Source organism: Homo sapiens, chromosome 10, assembly GCF_000001405.40.
Source record: "Homo sapiens chromosome 10, GRCh38.p14 Primary Assembly".
In the NCBI taxonomy this organism is placed as follows: domain Eukaryota; kingdom Metazoa; phylum Chordata; class Mammalia; order Primates; family Hominidae; genus Homo; species Homo sapiens.
Genome location: NC_000010.11, coordinates 70,831,636 through 70,852,747, shown reverse-complemented (window position 1 = coordinate 70,852,747; position 21,112 = coordinate 70,831,636). Strand labels below are relative to the sequence as shown.

The 21,112-nt window shown below is 39.7% G+C and overlaps 1 protein-coding gene across 8 annotated transcripts in view; it reads right to left on the bottom strand.

Moving 5' to 3' along the window:
• SGPL1 (sphingosine-1-phosphate lyase 1) overlaps positions 1 to 21,112 on the bottom strand; it is a 65,237-nt gene that overhangs the window by 28,437 nt on the left and 15,688 nt on the right. For all 8 annotated transcript variants that reach the window (NR_199385.1, NM_001438357.2, NM_001438353.1 and 5 more), the window contains 2 exons: positions 8,110 to 8,275; positions 1,538 to 1,605 (listed from right to left, as the gene is read on the bottom strand). Coding sequence is in view for 7 of the 8 variants with exons in the window: in NM_001438357.2 (NP_001425286.1) it covers positions 1,538 to 1,605; positions 8,110 to 8,275 (234 nt within the window). In the remaining variant the exon portion in view is untranslated. The remainder of the gene's footprint in view (positions 1 to 1,537; positions 1,606 to 8,109; positions 8,276 to 21,112) is intronic.

Here is a 21,112-nt window from a genome sequence, read left to right as displayed (position 1 = left end):
ACACACACGCGTGCGCGCGCACACACACACACACACACACATACACACATGTAATTTTTTGTATCTAAGCCTCAGAATCTGTTTCTGAAAAATGGAGAGTGATTGGATAGTCCTTGGCAAGCTAAGGATCTTCCAATTCTGTTACTTTCTAAGTTTAAGAGTGGGTTCTGGAACCCTAGCATTTATTTGTCTCAAAGTCTGAAAACTGAACGAAAAGAAGAAAAAAAAATTCAGGAGATAAGGGGAAATCCTAATCTCCTTTGTGCTACAGTCCATCTTCTACAATACCTTCCCTGTCCCCACCCCTTATACTCTGTAAGGACTAGATTTACTTTTAGGGATTAATATAATTTGGAGAGCAAACAGAAGCCTATATGCTCACATTTCCCTTCACCACCTGTTATTGCTCCCACTCTCCTACAGGAAATGAACCTGAAGATACCTATCTCTGGGAGAGTTAGCACAGCGATCTGAATGGATTTCAGCCAAAGGTTAAAGATAACTGGCCAACTTTAGGTCAGGGGTTGGCAAACAAACCCTGGTATAGCCAGGAAAGGGAACTGAAAGCCAAAAGTAGAAGAAAACTTAAAGGCAGGTAAAGTTGGGAAAGACCAAAGGGGGGTCAGGGGAGGGCACTGGAGGAGATGAAGATTCCAAGGACTCATATGCCTTCCTTAGAGCTTGCCAAGTGGCCTGCCCTGTTTATCTTCATCTGGGATAACCTGTGGGAGACGCACAGAGGTGACTACCTTATCCTCAACATGGATGAGGGCCAAGAGGACATAACAAAGGGGACATACTACAATACAGAAAATTGCAAACAGCAAGAGACAGCGCTGTGCAACTTGGGATCAGCAAACTACAGCCAGGAACCAACAAAGGCCTACCTGAATTCGTAAAGAAAGTTTCACTGGAATATAGCCAGGCTCATTCCTGAACCTCTTGCTGCTGTCCCTCTGCAAGGGCAGAGGTGAGGAGTTGCAACAGAAATGATATGGCCTACAGAGCCCAAAATGTTTCATATCTAGCCCTTTATAGAAAACATTTGCCGACCCCTGACCTAAACCATGTAAGCACCCAACTCCTAGATAAATACCTAAAGTCAGCCAGCTGCATGTTGTTCCAAAGCACCTAACAATACAGTCAGGTTTTCTCAAATTCTTACTTCCTTAACAGGCTTCTCATCTCTCCTTTGGCCAGTTACATTGGAGAAAGGGTTAAGTCAGGGTTCTCAACCTTGGCCATTTTGACATTTCCAGCCAGATAATTCTGTGTTTGGTGGGTGGGGGGGGGCTGCCCTGTACACTGTAGGATGTTTAGTGTTTAGCAGCATTTCTGGACACGATCCATTACATGCCAAGAGCACCCCTCCATCCAAGCTGTGACCACCAAAAATGTCTCCAAATGCTGCCAAGTGTCCCCTGGAGGTAAGAGACAAAATCACCCCTCCACTTTGAGAATATTAGGTTTAGTAAATAGAAAGAAAGAGGTATGATTATCAAGAGGGGAAAAAATGACATACACAGATTCTACTTACCTTACGACCAATAATGGGCATCTTCCTGGTGAGCTTAAAACATTTCTTTTTAAACCTTGACCATAAACCTAAAAGAAACAAATGGTTCTCTTATTCAAATAAATTTCCATGGATATGACCTGGCATATAGCAACCATTCAATGTGTCTTCCACCTCACTTGCCTTCCAATTGCAAAGAGTTTCTTTCGTTTAAAAAATTTTAAAAAAACTTTTAAATTTAAGTTTGTGAATAAGTACTATATTTACATGGTTCAAAATTTTAAAAATACAAACACATAACACACACAGTAAAGCAGTGAAGCTTCCCTCTCTCAAACGTATCCCCCCAACCCTCATGCTACCCCCCTGAGTTTCCTTATGCATACACGTGCAACAGTAAAGCTATATTCTTATTTGTCTCCCTTTTTTTGCACAAAAAGTAGCACACTCTAGCACTGTAGTAGACCTTGTTTTTCCACTTAGGAGTATTATCTTAAAGATCAGTGCATCCTCATTCATTTTTATAGCTGCAGAGTATTCCATTTTATGGATGTGCCAAAATTTATTTAACCTGCCCCTTAATGATGGATATATAGGTTGCTTCTAATATTTGCTATTACAAATCATGCTGAAATAACCTTGTAACACACACCATACTGCACACCTACAGGATAAACTACAAGTACACCTACAGGATAAACTCCCAGAAGCAGAACTACTAGGTCAAATGATATACGTGTTCCAGAATTCTTGACCTTCCTAAGGTTTCTAGATGTTCAACATTTCTCTTCCTTCCCCCAAGACTAATGGGCAGCCTGTTTTTAGTTTTGTTTTTCTTGGATCTATGTCCAGCCTCTCATCCAACACAGATTCTAACATTTTCTGGACCTACAAATGCCCTCAAAATTGTGGATGCTGGCCAGGCACAGTGGCTCACACCTCTAATCCCAGCACTGTGGGAGGCCGAGGTGGGAGGACTGCTTGAGCACAGGAGGGTGAGACCAGCCTGGGCAACACAGTGAGACCCTGTCTCAACAAAAAGAAAAAAAAGTTTGAAAAATCACAGATGCCAGAGTCCACTCTGTCAGGCAGTACATAGAACAAATAGGGAATACAAATCCTGTCGATCATAATAATCATAAATACATGGCATCTAAATAGACTAATAGACCTTCTGATGCATTCACAATCAATGTATCTCGACTGACTCTGACAACAGCATTCTGAGGCTGGCACAGAAGGCATTATATACCATCTACGAGTGACATAAAAGGCAATGCAAGATCAAAGCATCAAAACTTGCTCAAGGCCACAGATAAAATCAGTGATAGAGCAAAGATTTAACTGAAGTCTTTGTATTTTCAGTCCAGGATTCCCAGGATTCTATACTGCTTCAAATGCACCACAGGAATTTTCTGTTTGAGTCTATAAGAATCTAAGCCTGGCTTTTATCCAAGGTGTGAACTGAATATGAACTTCTACTGCATTCCTAGGAGATCTGGAAATTCCCACTTTCCTGGCCAGAAGGAGCTCCCTCTTCACTCAACAACCACGGGATGTGTCTGCACCCCCTTTTTGTATCTATCACATCATGCCTTGCATCTCTGCTAGCTGTTTTTGCTTCAGCTGCATCCCTCTCTTTCTAACTCTCCCTAGAGTCCACATTCTGTAAACACCTGGGACAAAACCAGGTAACTAAGACACAGACTGAATAAGAAGACAAAGAGACTGAAACCACTTGTTTGTGGTTACTTTTTGTTTAAATTTTGGAGTATTTCCTTCTAGCCCTATGTTCTACACACTGTAATACATACCTGAGATTCTGTATAATGTAAAATAACTGTATCCTCCTCACTGATAGCACTTTCTACATTATTAACAATTCTTTCTAAACATATTTTTAATGTTATAATAGTTCATCAAATGACTATAATCTAATATTGGATATTTTAGCTTCTTGTTATTCAACTATTTCTAACTGTTAAAGCTGTACAGATTCAGAAATGCTTCCTTATTTGATGAAGTAATTAATGAGGTAAAAAGAAGTCTAAAAATCAGCAAACTGGACCAGCTGTCCAGAAGTATAGTAATGTGACTAGGTGGAGGATAAAAGAATAAACTAATTTTGTGGAAGTTGTGAGAAAAAATGGTACAGGGTAAAAAGAACGGAATACAGCATCAGAGATGAAGAAACTAAAAATAAAAAGATCCCATGGCCCTGACCTAAAAAGATTATCTCAAAAGTCCCCAGAAGGTACAGAATGAAAAGTAATTAGAATTTTTTAGTGGGATTGAGAGTAAGGGGAAGAAGGAAGACTGGGAGATGGTCAAAAGGATAGAAAATTCCAGTTAGACGGAAGCAATAAGTTCAAGAGATCATGGTGACATAGTAAATAAAAATGTGTTGCATACGTCAAGATTGCTAAGAAAGTAGATTTTAAGTGTTCTCACCATTAAAAAAGGTACATGAGGCCAGGTGTGGTGGTTCACGCCTGTTATCCCAGCACTTTGGGAGGCCAAGGCAGGCGGATCAGGAGATCAGAGTTCAAGACCAGCCTGACCAACATGGTGAAACCCTGTCTCTACTAAAAATACAAAAATTAGCTGGGCGTGATGGCACGCGCCTGTAATCCCAGCTACTCGGGAGGCTGAAGCAAGTGAATCGCTTGAACCCAGGAGGCGGAGGTTGCAGTGAGCCGAGATCGTGCCACTGCACTCCAGCCTGGGTGACAGAGCAAAACTCCATCTCAAAAAAAAAAAAAAAAAAAAAAAAAAAAGTACGTGAGGTAATCACGTTAGTTTGATTGAGCCATTCCACAACTTACACATTTGAAAACTTCATGTTGTACATCATAAACATACAATTTTTATTTGTTACTTTAAAAAAAGAATTTTAAGTTTAACAAAATAGAAAATGCCAGTGTAAGAACAATGCATGGTTCTTAACAGTTTACAAATTCCACTCATGCAAAAGATGCCATTCAGTCCTCATATTACCCATGACTAGGTAAAGCAGCTATTATGATGTCCATTTTATTGCAAGGAAATGGGCTAAGAGAGCTTAAGGGTGTCACCCAAGGTGACACAACAAGAAACTGAGAGTTTATCATTTCCTCCATGACATAAAGCTGATTTCTGTTGATGAATTATGGACAACCCACAGTTAAAATCAGCATTAAAGTAAAAGTAATAAACTGTGAGCTGATAATCACAGAGGCAGAATTAAGGAAGAGGCTGCTAACCCCAGCACAGTTCATGCCGCTGCCCACTTCTCCTCTACCCCAGGCTCCATCCTTTGTTCCAGAAATACTCTCTTCCCTCAAGAGGGATTCAGTGTTGGAAGATCAGCAAAATTCATCACTAGTCCAGACTTCAGACTCCTTTAGTGCAGTGTAACTAAAAATAACTTGATTGTTCAGCAACACATGGCAAGTGAGCAAGTGCTAAAAAAAATGAATATTCTATCAAAATTATCCCTGATCTCTGGAGGGAAGACATTCTTATCTGTGTCTAAAATTCAAGTTGGAAATTACCAAATGAAAGTGTGCTGTGTGTGTATGTGCTAAATTGTATAAAATTGTCAACATTTGACGATTTTTTTTTTACAAAATTACATTTTGTATGGTTCAAACTGGATTCAGATATAGAAACAGAGAAATACAATAGTGGTATCCTTCAGTAGTAAGATTTTAATTTTGTTCTTATTATATACCCATATTGTCCAACTTTTCCATAGTGAATATGTACTGCTTTTGTTTTGTATCTTTAGAAACAAAATAACTCAGCTGGGCATGGTGGCTCAGGCCTGTAATCTCAGCACTTTGGGAGGTTGAGGTGGGCGGATCACCTGAGGTCAGGAGTTCAAAACCAGCCTGGCCAACATGGCGAAACCCCATCTCTACTAAAAATACAAAAATTAGGCAGGCGTGATAGTGGGCACCTATAATCCCAGCTACTCATGAGGCTGAGGCAGGGAGAATTGCTTGAACCCGGGAGGCAGAGGTTGCAGTGAGCCAAGATCATGCCACTGAACTCCAGCCTGGGTGACAGAGTGAGACTCCGTCTCAAAAACAAAAAACAAAAAACAAAAAAAAAACCTCAAATGGCTTGGAGTTCAGCCCACAAGGATTTAGATGGCATATCTCATCAGTATACTACGACTAACAATTTTCTCATGGAAAATTGGCCTCTCAGAGGCCAGCATATTCCTTTTTGACCACTAAAAGCAGATAAGTATCAGAACCTAAGATGGCTGTGTCTCTACTATTAGCTAAGCAAAATGTATGGCATAGTGAGCTGCAGAACTGAAAACAGAAGTAAATACCTAACCACAAAAAAAGAAAAATATGGGAGGTAATGCATGTTAATTAGCTCAATTTACCCATTTCACAATGTATACATATTTCAAAACATATGTTGTACATGATAAATATAAACAATGTTTATTTGCCAATTAATTTTAAAATTTGTTTTAAAAAGAATACCTAAAATTAATATTAATCATAGCAAGTAAAATATAAATCTCAGATCTCTAAGCTTAGCCTTATTTCATAAATGTACCACCTTTGAATTGTAGTACATTTGTAAAACAAGGCGATACAATAAATGGTGGTTTCCAGGGGATGCGGGAGAGAGTAATGGGCAGTTATTATTTGATGTTTATTAAAATGGAGTTCCAGTGGGGTGATGAAAAAGTTCTGGTAATAGTGATGCCTGTACAATAATGTGAACGTACTTACTGCCACAGGACTAACTGTACACTTAAAAATGGTTAAAGTGGTAAATTTTATGTTGTATATATTTTATTATAATAGAAGGATAAGCAGAGACTGATTTTTTTTTTAATGAAAAGTTAAAAAATAAAAAGAAAGTATATTTCTTGCTACCCCTCAGAATCCTCTGAAATGGGCCCCTTACTCACTGAATTGAATACTTCCTAGGAAAGGAATAAGCAAGAGCAGAAGGACACAAGCTACATCCATATCCAAACCATTGAGCAGATGCAGCGGAAGGGCCGGCCAGTCTAATTTCTTAGAGTTTATCAGAAAATCTTGCAAGGACTAGGAGCAGCAACTGAGGACAAGGTTTTTAAAGCTGGAGTGAGCTACAGATTTACACAGGAGAGTCAGGTCTCATTTCCACTTTAATTTAAAAACTCTAAGCAGTTGGAACTTGCTTCTTGGTTGTCAGGTTTTGCAATGTTTACTGCGCCATAAATGGCTAAGAAGCTATTTGCAGGGTAAAGAGATAAAAATGGAATCTGGCTTCTAAATTGACTTTCCTTGAACAAGAGAAGAAAAGCAGAAAAAACACATTAAAGAGCCCTTTTAAACAGGTGTTATCAGGGAAGCAAAGTGGTGGGGAAATTTCAAGCAAATGAGAAACAGCTAATGATTATCTTCAATGTTACTGTTTTCTTATCCCAAGGAAGTTAACTCCCATACCCTACTAAGAGTGGGGAAAAGGTGCAGGGGAGTGTTATAGAACATCCAGCACCAAATCCACTACTTGTGTTTAGGTACTAACAACACTCACCAAGCACAGACTGCAGAGGAAAATAACTCATAAGAAGGTAACACACAACCAGGTTTCTAGGCGGGAAAAAGGTGGGTGGGCAGGAGAGGGGCTTAATCCTAAGCAAAGGTGGAAGATTCAGAAGCAGATCACTGAGACTGCTCATCTTCTGCACCCTGAGAAGTGGCCTCTTCTTCCCCATGTTGATCTGGCACTGAGTCACTTCTAGGAAGCTCAAAGTATACGATCCCCTGATACCAGTTCAACTCCAAGAGGAGAGAGATCCTGTACTACTTGTGCAGATATCCCCACAGCCTGATGGCAGTGCCTGGCACATAGCAAGCACTCAAATGGTCACCATGTAAGTGCTGTTCCAATTTCACCTAATCTTTACTGAAAAGGATAGCACAAAATGAAAGCAATAAATTCCTGCTCTGGGAACTCCAGGTGACATAATTATGTTCTAGGGAAGAAACTGGTACCAAAGGTTTAAACCATACTGAGATTTCTGTGGATCCTTACAATGACTAATTCTGAGGCGTTTTTACGTGAACTACAAATCCAAAAAAAATCAATGTAAGGAGTATTAGTTATACAAGAGTCCTGTTATAACTTGACCAATCAGAAGACAAAGTACTGCTTTACATTTAAACAGATTTTAAAAATAAGAACCAAACCAGGGCCGGGCACGGTGGCTCACGCTTGTAATCCCAGCACTTTGGGAGGCCGAGGTGGGTGGATCACGAGGTCAAGAGATCAAGACCATCCTGACCAACATGGTGAAACCCCATCTCCACTAAAAATACAAAAATTAGCTGGGCGTGGTGGCGTGTGCCTGTAGTCCCAGCTACTCGGGAGGCCGAGGTAGGAGAATCACTTGAACCTGGGAGGCAGAGGTTGCAGTGAGCCAAGATCAGGCCAGTGCACTCCAGCCTAGCAACAGATGGAGACTCCGTCTCAAAAACAAACAAACAAACAAAAAAACAACCAAAAGGCAATAAATTAGTCCTATCTCTCAGCAATTAGTTTGAGGCTAGTGACACACCACTATACCTTTACAGAGGAGACAGCATACTTACTCTCTGGCTGGAAGACAAACTCATATCCCCAGACTATCAGCAGGGTCCACACGACACTCCATGCAATTAGCTGCCAGGGCTCATACTTGGTGCAATGTCCATTTACATAATTCTTGGCTTTTGTGGAGTATACTTCCAAAATCTCTAAGTAGGGCTCAAAGGCCTTCTAGAAATACAAGTGAAAAATAAAAACATTACATTTAGAGAGAGAAAAGAAGTCTGTTCTTAGTTTGTACTTCAACTCTCATTTTTCAAGGGCAAGGTCATTCCGGATCTTGCCCTTCTTCAGCAATAATCTTATTATCATCTACAGCCCTCAAGGCTTCTGTACCAGTCACTCCAGCAGCACTCCACTGCCACTTAACAGCTAGTGGACTTTGAGACTATTTTCAATCTTGTGCCTATTTTATACAGTAAGAGGGTTAAGCTAGATCGTCACTTCAGCCCTAAAATTTCTATATGACTGCTAGAATCACTGTCCCACTCTCTTAACTCACACTAATACCCCCAATATCAATGTCATTTCTCTTCTCTATTTGAATCTTTCCTATTCTCTACCCCAGTAGTCAGCAAACTGGTTCTGTAATGAGCTTGATACTAAATTATTTTATATTTTAAGTGTTGCAAAGCAAACATTCTCCTTTACAACTACTCCTCTCTGCTGCTGGAGTACAAATATAGTCAGTTATTGTGTAAACAAAGGAACATGGCTGTGTTCCAACACAATGTAATTACAGACACCAAAACTTGAATTTCATATAATTTTCATGTTCATAAAATATTCTTTAACAATTTTTAAAATGTAAAAATCATTCTTAGCACAAGGACCATATAAAAGCAGGCAAGAGCCAGATTTGGCTTGCAGGCCACAATTTACCAATGCCTGCTCTAAGGCCTTACTTGACTATAATCTCTCAGTCAGCAACCATATCTTACCATCATGTGTATTCCTCACAACACCTGGTACGAGCAAGAAAAAACCTGTCCTCTGTAAACTTACCAGAGTATCTCATTCACGAGAATTCCTCTCTCCCTTTAAATTCTCCTCCAGTACTCATTTTTGATAAGTCCTATACAGAGCTTATCACAACCTGCCTTGCAGTCTACTCATCTGTTTCTTATCTCCCTGACTATATGGTTAAGTTCTTGAAGACAGACCAGTTCTATTCATATCTACAATCCCCTACAATGCCCTGTACAAACTAAGGTCATTTTATAGTTTACTATTCATTCACTTAATCAACATTGATTAAGCATCTCCAGGGTTGAAGGCAGTAAGCTGGGGAAGTGTTCAGGTACATATCATAGTTCCAAGTCTATACTGAGTTTACAATCTAATATGCAAGATGTAGATGTGTGTCCACACACACACACACACACAGGCACATACATATACAAACAAATCACGAAAACTTCTCAGGGGAATAGCCACAAAAAGCATATGAGTGCCAAGATGGAGCACTGAGGAAGGACTATCTAACTCTGAAGGGATAAAGATAATGACAGAGGGCAAAATTTAAGCTGGTTAAAAGGATGAAAGAAAATTCTCTAGGTAGAAAAGTTAAAAGGAAAAAAGTCATACCAGAAAGAGAGGATAGTAGCTGCAAATGCATAAAAAGAGTCTGCATATGGCAAAAGTTCTATGTGGCAAAGTGTAAGCTACATGATGGCAGGGACCATTTCTGTCTCATCCAGTACTAAATCCCCAACATGTGGCAGAGTGCCCGGCACACAATTTATACTGAATACAAACATGGACAGGGGCTGACAGTGCCCAAGTAACAGTGCCCAAGTAAATGAGTGAACACTTAAATCAGAGACGTGAGGCTGGGAGAAGTATGCTAGGTCCATGATATGGTTTGGATGCCTATCCTCCAAATCTCATGTTGAAATGTGATTCCCGACATTGGAGATGAGGTCTGGTGGGAGATGACTGGATCACGGGGGTGCATCTTTCATGAATGAGTTCTTGCTCAGTTAGTTCAGGTGAGATCCGGTTGTTTATAAGCCTAGGACCTCCCCCCACTCTCTTTCTTGCTCTCACTCTTGCCATGTGACGTGCCTGCTCAAGTTTTGCCTTCCGCCATGATTGTAAGCTTCCTGAGGTCTCACCGGAAGCAGATGTTGAAGCCATGTTTGTACAAATATGCAGAACCATGAGCCAATTAACCCTCTTTTCTTTATAAATTACCCAGACTCAGGTATTTCTTAACAACAATGCAAGAACGGGCTAATCCAGTCCATGTTTAAAAAGGACTTAGAAAAACTGATATACAAACTGATAGGAACTTTTGTAAAGCAATTTGTTGGTATCTATCAACATTTTAAACGCATGTTCGTTTTGACCTAGCAATCTCACTTTTTGGCATCTGCATACTTTGCACATGTATACAAATAAACATGTTCAAGGATATTCATTTCAGTATTCTCTAACAAAAGGGAAAAAATAATGTAAATGTCCACCCACAGAAGAATGGTTAAATAAACTATAATACGTGCATTTTATGTACCCATACCATGAAACATTAAGAAGAAGACAGATCTACATGAACTACGTAGAAAAATTTCCAGAACATAGTATCAGGTAAAAATAAGTAAATTACAAACAACAGCAATAAAACAAAACAAAAGGCATGGATTTTTAAGTATGTGAGTAATTTTTTCGGGTGTGGGTATAGATCATTCAAAATTTTCAAGTTCAAGTTCGACAGACTGGTTAACTATGATGTTAACAGTTAATATCAGTATTAACTATGGTAAGACTAGAAGAGGAAGGGAAGGTAAAAAAGGTAGAAGATGTTTTGAGAAAAAGATAATGATACTGACTTAAATATATTCCTATTGGATATCCACATCCAGTGTTCTAGTAGGAACATGAAAGCTTAGAAAAAGGACAGATACTCAACAAATGCTTGTTGAAAACATTTATACCTGCAATGGACTGAATGTTTACATCCCCCAAAAATTCATATGTTGAAATCTAACCCTCAAGCTGATGGTAGGAGGAAGAGGGAGCCTTTGGGGGGTCATTAGATCATGAAGGCAGAGGCCTCGTGAATAAGATTAGTGACTTTATAAAAGAGACCCCCAGAGAGCAAATTTGCCCCTTCTACCATGTGAAGATACAGTGAGAAGACATTTTCTATGAACCACTTTTATGAAGGCCACCTTCCAGGAAGTGGGCCTCATCAGGCACCATATCTGCTGTTGCCTTGCTCTTGGGCTTCCTGGCCTCCAGAACTGAGAGAAATGGACTTTTGTTTATATGCCACCACGTTTATGGCATTTTGTTATAGCAGCCTGAATGGACTCAGACAATACTCTTAGTAATTAGACTGTGGTATAAGGTAATTAACATTAGACAACTACTAAGTTCCCTGGAGGGCTACCCATGGAGACAGTTTATCTGCAATTCCCCAACAGTTCTTGGTGGCCATTCCCCAGAGCCCACTGTTGCATCAACAACCTCAATCCAAAGCAATGGCAATACCAGCCAAAACCTGGGAAAGACCAGAGGAGTCTATCATCAAAAGTATGTCATGATTTCTATCATTATAAAGACTCGTCTAGTGTGAAAGTTGTGGTCAAACCAGATGGTTAAATACTGTGCATGAACGAGATGATGAAAGAACAATTATTCAGATTAGCTTTTCTTCTGGTGATACTAATTCCTAATTCACCCAGAAAACAGAAGTTACCAATGTCAAAAGATGACTATAGATATTATGAACAATTCACAGCACTGAGCAAAAAAGTAACATAACCAGTATTAGGGTGACAGCAAAGAACCAGCAAATGCAAACTAATTTTTAAAAGCCTTAAAATTAAGATATAAAGACATTCCTCACTAACATTTAAAAATTACATTCAGCAAGAATATATTTTCTTTGTATTTGTTTTGATTCTTATGAAGATAATGGCAATTCTTAAATTCAAAGGAGGTCCTTTAAAAGGAGATAAATCTAAATTCTTTAACACCAAAGACAGAATGACACTGTAGTTGGATGGGTCCTGACAAGCTTTTTGAGTAGTCAACTAGTTGATCACAGAAATTACATCTCCTGGCATCATTCTAAGGTCCTCCTAGTGTTACTACAAACAACCTAGGCTCAGTCCCCAATGTAGATGCAACTCACAACACTCACAGCTCACTGAATTATTGGGCTCTGTGGCATAAGGTATCCTATCTCCTTGGACTAAAGGATGATGCAGTTCCTTAGGACCTTGAAAACAGCACAAACCCCAGGCTGGGTCCTGATGCAATACTCTAGCCCTTGGGAAGCACAGAATGTAAGAGCTGAAGGGAACCTGGAAGATCAAGTCTAACATTTTCATTTTACAAGCAGAGACCCCAAAGTGAAATGACATGACTACGCTCATACAGACATGCTTGTGATTAAGTGAAGTCTAGGAACGCATGCCTTTTGACTCAGTATTCAGTACCCTTTCAAATCTTGATTTTCAGTATTCATGGGCAGAGGAGTAACACATTACAATCCAGCAGCATCCCAAGAGTTTTCTTTTCACAATTTATGTTCTTGGCAGGATCTACCCTGGATACATGGTACCATGTATAACATACTAAAATTATATAGTTAGGTCATGACTACAGATAAACATCTAGATCAACCTTGTCCAACATGCAGTCCAGGACAGCTCTGAATGTAGCCCAAAACAAATTTGTAAACTTTCTTAAAACATCATGAGACTTTTTTTTTTTGCAATTTTTATTTTTTTTTAAGCTCATCAGCTATCATTAGTATATTTTATGTGTGGCCCAAGACAATTATTCTTCTTCCAATGTGGCCCAGGACAGCCAAAAGACTGGACACCCCTGATCTAGATAGAGATGGCACAGAAGTTCATGTGATTATAATTACTATTCCCACTATGTCTTTTTACTTATAACAGTACTTTTTTGTCTATATATCTCTGAATATATACTTATAATTCTTAGGCTTCTGTTTATTTCAATTTTATCAATGTATTGTGTCTCTGGAAATATATGAACTATGAATGGTCATCCACAAAGGCCACTAGCTTACTGTGCAACTCCAGGTAAATTATTTCATCAATCTTTATGTCTTTATCTAGAAGAAGAAACACAAGAACAATACAGTCATAAAATAAGCTGTATCTGTATATGTGTGTGCCTGGGCAGGGAAGGGGGACAGGGGTGCTTATCTCCAACCCTTGCTTAATAGAACAGTAGTTTCAGTACAGTTTCTATAAGTAAAACATTCCTTCCTTCACTGTTATAAAATTGGAAAGGTATTCCTCTAGAAAAAAAAATTATTTGCCCAGTGAATGAATAATACTTTTTAAAGTATAACATTAAAGAAAAAAACAAACTCTTATAAACCTTAGTAGTAGGAATATTCATAATATTAACTACTTTAAAGAGCTATTGTCAAATAATGAGTAAACTAGCCTTTCTCTTGTTTATTCCATTTCCAATTCAATGATTACATTTCAGATGATACCCAAAAGGCATCAAAATAGTACTCAATAATCCTAATCGTTAGACAAAAGGCAGCTCCTAGAATTTATGGGAGCTTGGTAGCCCACTCGCCCCAATGACATAAAACTCTTTCAGCCTTCACTTTAAGGATGCAAGACCTTTTCATGAATGTACCCAACAGCAGAAGGCTACAAATATTGTAAATTTGGGGTATGCTACTTGTTAGACCACTGAGTTTCAAACTGTTTCAATATGTGTATTAGAGTCTACGTGTATGAGACTGTGTTGTAAAATACAGTCCCAAAGAAATGTCTTTTACAACACAATCTAATACATGTAGAAACAGAAACATATAAAACCAAAAGTTTCCAAAATAATACTTAGCACCTTATTACTTGTAATGTACTCACATTTCTATTTCTTCCTTCTTTAACGCTTGATATACTAAACTGATTTTGTGTCCCTCTAAATGGATCATAATCTGCAGTTTCAAAAGCAGTGCTTCAGAGTGATTTTACTTCTGGCTTCCTTAAATTTAGAATGTGGTTGTGTAATACAGTGAGGGAGCTAACACTAATGTTATTTTCCACTCTACACAATCTCAGTGCTTTTTATACTTACGATTTATTCTCTTAACATTTTTGTGAGGTCAGGAATATGAGCTGAAGTAATAAGCCCAGGATATCTAGTCATGAGTTACTTCCTAACTGACAGTAGACCACAGCTATCCCCAATGATACTAAACTCTTTTAATCTCCAAATCACTTCAAGAGAGCAAAAGATTCCATAAGCAAACTTCCAATAGTAGCACTATCCACCCCTTGCTACCTCCAAAAAAATCTTACGAACTGGTACTGCTCGTGACCAAATACCAATTAGGCAGTGATATTTTTTCCTTATCAAATTACTTCAGCACCAATTTATACCTAAAGAAACATTCCACAAATGAATATTACTAAAAGAGAAAAGCCATCTGGCAAATATTTCCAGACCCACACTGGATGATGCATCTTTCCTTGGAACTAATACAATCCTTTCTCCATTACTCAACAGGGCTAACTACCTGTTATGATTTGAATGTCCCCCCTAAAACTCACGTTGAAATTTAATTGCCATTGTAACAGTGTTGAGAGGTGGGATCTTTAAGAGGTGATTTAGATCAGGAGGGTTCTGCCCTCATGAGTATATTAATGCCATTATCTTGGGAGTGGGCTCCTGATAAAGGATGACATCTTGGCCCATCCCCTCTAGCTCGCGTGCTCACTTGCCCTTCTGACATGTTATTATTCAGCAAGAAGAAGGCCCTCACCAGATATCAGTGCCATGCTCTTGGACTTCCCAGCCTCTAGAACCACGAGCCAAATAAACTTCTATTGTTTATAATTACCCAATCTGTGGTATTCTGCTATCACAGCAGAAAATGGACTAAGACACCATGTATATTTGTTTTATTCAAAAGCAATGGCATCTCCATTCAGGTAGTCCCTCAGAGCTATCTACCATGCCAACCTAGAAAGAGCTCTACTCTGTAATGTTGTCTCTGCTATACGTATGCTTACTGCTGTTTAAGAGTTTCAGTCATTCAACAATTATTTTTGGAGTGCCTACTGTATGAAGGCACTATTTTACAGGGATCAGAGTTCACCCACTTGTTTCACTAAAAACTTTCTCTTCCCTCTAAAACTCAAAGATTTGGTGACCCTCTGATTACAGAGGGAATAAAACTAATTTAGAAAAAGAGGCCAAGACAACATGCACAGGAAAGAGTGAAGCACTTAAAAAGTATTAACTTTTTAATTTGGCCAGGCATGGTGGCTCACACCTGTAATCCCAGCACTCTGGGAGGCCGAGGTGGGTAGATCACCTGAGGTCAGGAGTTTGAGACCAGCCTGGCTAACATGGGGAAACCCTGTCTCTACTAAAAATAGAAAAATTAGCCAGGCATGGTGGCGTACACCTGTAGTCCCAGCTACCCAGGAGGCTGAAGCATGAGAATCGCTTGAACCTGGGAGGCGGGGGTTGCAGTGAGCCAAGATCGTACCACTGTACTCCAGCCTGGGTGACAGAGCAAGACTCTGTCTCAAAAAAAAAAAGCATTAACTTTTTAACGTAATTAAAATTTTAAAAATAAATTTATTTTATAAAAATAATTTTATCTTTTAAATTTATTAAAATTTAATTAATGAGAATACATGGTATTATACACCTTAAAACTCTAAATGGCTTTCATGTTATTTTATTTGTATTTTATAACCTCATGAGGCTATTAGATTAAGAATGTACAGGCCATTTACACATTATAAAGTACTTGTAATCCCAGCACTTTGGGAGGCTAAGGCAGGAGGATCCCCTGAGGCCAGGAGTTCAAGACCAGCCTGAGCAACATAACAAGTTCCCATCCCTACAAAAAAATTTAAAAAACAAACAAACAAAAAAGCAGTAGGCATGGTGGCACACTCCTGTAGTCCCAGCTACTTGGCAGGCTAAGGTAGGAGGATCACTTGAGCCCAGGCATTTGATGCTGCATTGAGCTATGAGCATGCTACTGCACTCCAATACAACTTGGGCGGCAGAGTGAGACTCTATCTCAGGAAAGGGAAAGGGAAAGGCAAAGGCAAAGGGAGGAGAGGGAGAGGGAAGGAAAAGAAAAAGGAAAAGGAAAGGAAGGGGAAAAAGAAAAGAAAAGAAACCAGTGTGCAGTATCACTCTATAGATGGGGAAAACTGAAGTCAAGAAAGGTTAAGTGACTTGCTCAGTCAAACTGATAGAAAGAGGCAAAGTCAGGACTTCACACTCAGAGCTGAATTCCACAAGATATTGGAACCATCGCTCTGGGCTTCAAAACATCATAAATACCTACATACTAATTGGGAAAGTATGACCTAAAAGAAGAAAACCAAAGAGCTGTAGGTAAAGCCAAACAGGGGAACCAACAAGATATTCCAATGTATTCTCTCTTTACTGTTCTGCTCACATTAAAGAAAAACAGGCTGAAGATCAAAGAAAAACATTCCTGCTGACAGGCTGACCCACTCTACAAATAATTTCTGAACTGCCACAGGCACACAGATTCCCTGCCAAGGAAAATGTGGCAATTTTGCTCAGTGGATTACTGCACAGTGCTAAGTGAGTGAAGGTTGTATGGTCAAAACTGAAGTGCACACAAACCAGTTTTCTCAGGCTTCCATAACAACTCGTACCTCTCAAACTGCCTCCTTGTCTGAATGCAGCTTGCTGGGCCACAACAGAGACCTAGGGCCCTGAGTGTAAGTCTGTTATTCACTCAAGGAAATGTTCAAAACAGTAATGCCCTAATGATTTTACTGATCTCTATAGCTTCATTATAGAGTCAAGTTTCTGGGAAAGCTACTTCCCTACAGAAAGTTTCCCTTCATTCTCCTGTACAATGTCTTCTTGGCATTTCTTTTTTTTTTTTTTTTTTGAGACGGAGTCTTGCTCTGTCACCCAGGCTGGAGTGCAGTGGTGCAATCTTGGTTCACTGCAAACTCCACCTCCCGGGTTCAAGCCATTCTCCTGCCTCAGCCTCCCAAGTAGCTGGGACTACAGGCACCCGCCACCACTCCCAGCTAATTTTTTGTATTTTTAGTAGAGACAGGGTTTCACCGTGTTAGCCAGGATGGTCTCGATCTCCTGCCTCGTGATCCACCCGCCTCGGCCTCCCAAAGAGCTGGGATTACAGGCATGAGCCACCGCACCCGGCCTCTTCTTGGCATTTCTAATGTGCCACGTTTCCAGTGTGCCTCAACTCAGGGTATTTCTCAAGAGTCACTCAGGGCCAAACTGCATTAGCCTATTGCATTATGAGTTAATTTGTCCTAGAAGGAAAGAATTCAACTCTGGTTAGGGAGAACAACCAAATAATTTTAATATATGAACTCTCTATGGTACCAGGTGCTGATAAGAATACAAATTAGGAGGAGGATATAAGTCTTCTATCTCCTACACTGCCTAAAACAGCATCTTCAACACAGCAGGAACTCAACGTTTATTCAAATAAAGTAATTATGATATTGCCTATACTTTTGACAGTTTTGTTTTGCAAGATCCTAGGATGTTTCTGCCTCCTCTCTCCCACATCTCTCCTATTTAAGCTTAACAAGACACAGTGGCAGTGGGTTGAATCTGCAGAGGAGAATGGCTGGTTATCTGTAACTGGACTCTGCACACCGTGGCACTCTGCCTACAAGTTCACAAGGTTCATCACATCATAGGCCATCAGAGCTGAACCTGTCCTTCACAGATGAAGACATTGAGGCCTACAGGTCACAAAGCTCGGAAATAGCGGAGCCAGGACTCAAATCTTCTGGTTTAAAATGCATTGTTTTTTCCACTGCCTAGTTTTCCAGAGCCAAACTATCAGTGGCACAAATCAGGAGACCAACAGTTCTCAAAGTCCTGTCAGCTAGTTTACTCCAAGAGCCAAAGGAAAGGCTCTCATCTTCACTACGCTCCCAGTGAAGGCATACAGAACTTCCAGATGACCTAACGGCATCCTACAAGGGCTGAGCATTTTGGGGAAGTGAACTGCTATTGCATGGCCTTTTCGAACTGCAAACTTCATTCTTCTCTGAGCTAGAGACTTACACTCATACTACTTATTTGCTTACAAAAGAAAGACGGAAAGAAATTAGTTTGAAAAGTACTTCAGAAAAGTTGTCTTCAAAATCATAAAATGCTACTGTCTGAAGGAACCTTAGAGACCACCTATAGTCCAATCTCATTGCAGTGATGAAGAAACTGAGGCCACAGACTAATACCAAAATGTGCCTTCCCTGGTTTCAAACTAGAGGCACAGCCCCCAAGAGAATCTATCTTCTTCTTCAATATTCTTTCCATAAAGCCAGTGGGGGTACATCAATATCATCCAAGAAGCATGATTCCTGGAACGAATCATCTTCTTGGGTCAGAATACCCCACCCACAGGGTCAGAGTACAGAATGTGTATTTTGTAAACCTCCCTCCGGTGATTCTGACAGGCAACACTGCTTAAGAATCCATTCTCTTCCCCATCCTTTTCTTTTATTAAAAGATGACCCAGTAGCTGACTTAACATATTACTGACACCCAATCACCAAACTTAATGGCTACCCGGTATTCACGCAGCAGGGAAAAGACATCCACGAAGCTTTCCTGGGAAGTGTTAAAAGTCAGGGCCCAGTCACGTCACTCTACTAGATATCAATTCATTGTTCCTGCCTAATATTTATTCTTTGGCCAGATACTAATAAAAATCAAAATCTTCTACCCCACAATCCTGCAAAGAAGACAGAATTTGTTATTTGTTTTCCTGAACTATTCAACGCTCAATACTTTTTCCAGAAGGACCATAAATCTGAGCTTTACAGCAGGAATGGGCTGTTGAGGAAAAGAAAAATCTGTTCTACCCAGTTCAAATGTTACTCTAAGGACTAAGCCTCAGCCTAGGGAGTGAAGTTAAAATACAGAAGAGACTCAGTTAGTATATTTATTCTTATCAGCTTCTGCCCCCCCACCAAAAAAAGAAAAGCCAGAAAGCAAAGCTAATTTAATCTGATTTTCTTTCATATTACAGTCTACAGAACTTCAAAGTGCAAGGTAAACAGGTAAGAAAATACTATTGTCTTTATAGCCTCCAAAAGCATTAAAGTTTATCATCAAAAACACATCACAACCCCAAAGGGAAAATCCTCTTGGGTCATTAAAGAAGTAAGAACTGAGCAACAAAACCAGACAGCCATTCCAAGCAACCAGTAGTGACTGTGAGAAACGTTTGAGGAAACTGAATCATCATTTCTTAGGAGACAAAAAGCAAACCACATACTTCCCCCAAAATTCCACTATGTGAGTCAAGAGATCCAGTATCTGAGAAGTTCGTCTCAAAAAGCTTAAGAGTCTACATTTTCCCTTCTAGCCTGGCCTTGCCAGATATGTACACTTGGTACCATTCCCCAAGCACCAACTGCTATACACTTAGCATGGGAGTATTCAGGCAAAGCATCTTTCCATCCCTGAAATAACAAAACCATCTTGGCCACAGAAAGAACACACATATGAAATGTTCCCAAGTCATCAGAAGTGCACTCATGGAAAACCACAGCTTCTAAGTTCCTAAAAGCTGAACCCGAAACACTGCTAAATGGTCACTTTATTAATGTACTTGTGGTCAGGACAAGGCATCAAGTAAAGGGAGATGCTGATTCTGTTAAGTAACAATTCTGAGCACCTCTCTTCTGAAATACATATTTAAAAGTATCAGGAGCAGCTTATACTAGGAGAGAAGACTAAATGCATAAAACTGAATTCAATAAGCAGAGGAACACACTGAAGGACACAGAGATAAGAGCAATTACCAGTTTTGTAGGAAAATAGACTCCCAGCCTAAGGCAAGTAGGTAAGATATGGGGGGAAAAATATGCAAATTTGCACATGGAATGTTGCTAAGTTTGCTATGAACTCTCAGAGTCTGACAATAAATAGCTAAATGACTTACTGTGCACATGTATACAGGTTATATTTCAAAGCACAAATGAGTTTCATCATTCTCTAAAACTAGAAATGATAATTTCTTGGATAATAAGCAAGATCTAGTGGAAAAGATCCCGTATTTCTCACACAGAAAGAAGTCTTAACTTCTCTGAGCATATCACGATTGGGGAAGGGCAGAGGTTAGCTGACTTCTCCAGTCCCATACTTATCTTACTAACAGAATTCTCTATCTTTGTCTGGGAGTTAAGACACTTAGACTTTTCATAACCATTTGTGGAAATTCCTTCCCTACAACAGTCATGCTGCTATTAGAGATGAGGAATACTGAATATTTGCTGAGAAGTGTAACCTAACTAAAGCTATTTCTCTAGAGATTTCCAACACGTAAGCCTGCTCAAAAGAATAAGCAGGGACCTATCCCTAGGTCTCTGACTGACCTTCAACTATATAAACACCCTTTGGAAAGTGCATCTTCGAAATTACCAAGAACCTACTTTTAAAAGCTGAAGTAAGCAGCTGAGTAAATTTAATTTAAAATTAATACTTGGAAGAGTTTCAAACTTTGTGGTATCTATTGAAAGTGAGCAGGAAAGTGTGCTTCTGTGATGTTATACGTATATATTGGTTTGCATCCATGGTTCCTGGTTCATAACCCCCATAGCCCTTGTTATAGTCTTCTATTATAATGCTGGGGCACTTTGGGCCTCAGGAAACAGAATCTCTCTCAACCTTCTCCTGTCCTCTTTTACCTGCCTCAAAGCAAGACTCTAGTCCAACTGTGGGCCAAAAAACCCTCATTCCTGGGAGGGTTGTGCCCCATATTCTGGAGGAAGGAAGGCTGCACAGAAAGGCCAGCGACAACCTGAACAGACAGGCCTTGCTGGGTTTCCGGTCAGTCTATTAGTATGAGATCATGCCTCCTGTGTCCAGTCACATTTCTACATGGTTGTCAATCATGCCTATGTAACTAAGCCTCCATAAAAACCCAAAAGGACAGGGTTCAGAGAGCCTCTGGATAGCTGAACACATGGAGGTTCCTGGAGGGTGGTGCACCCA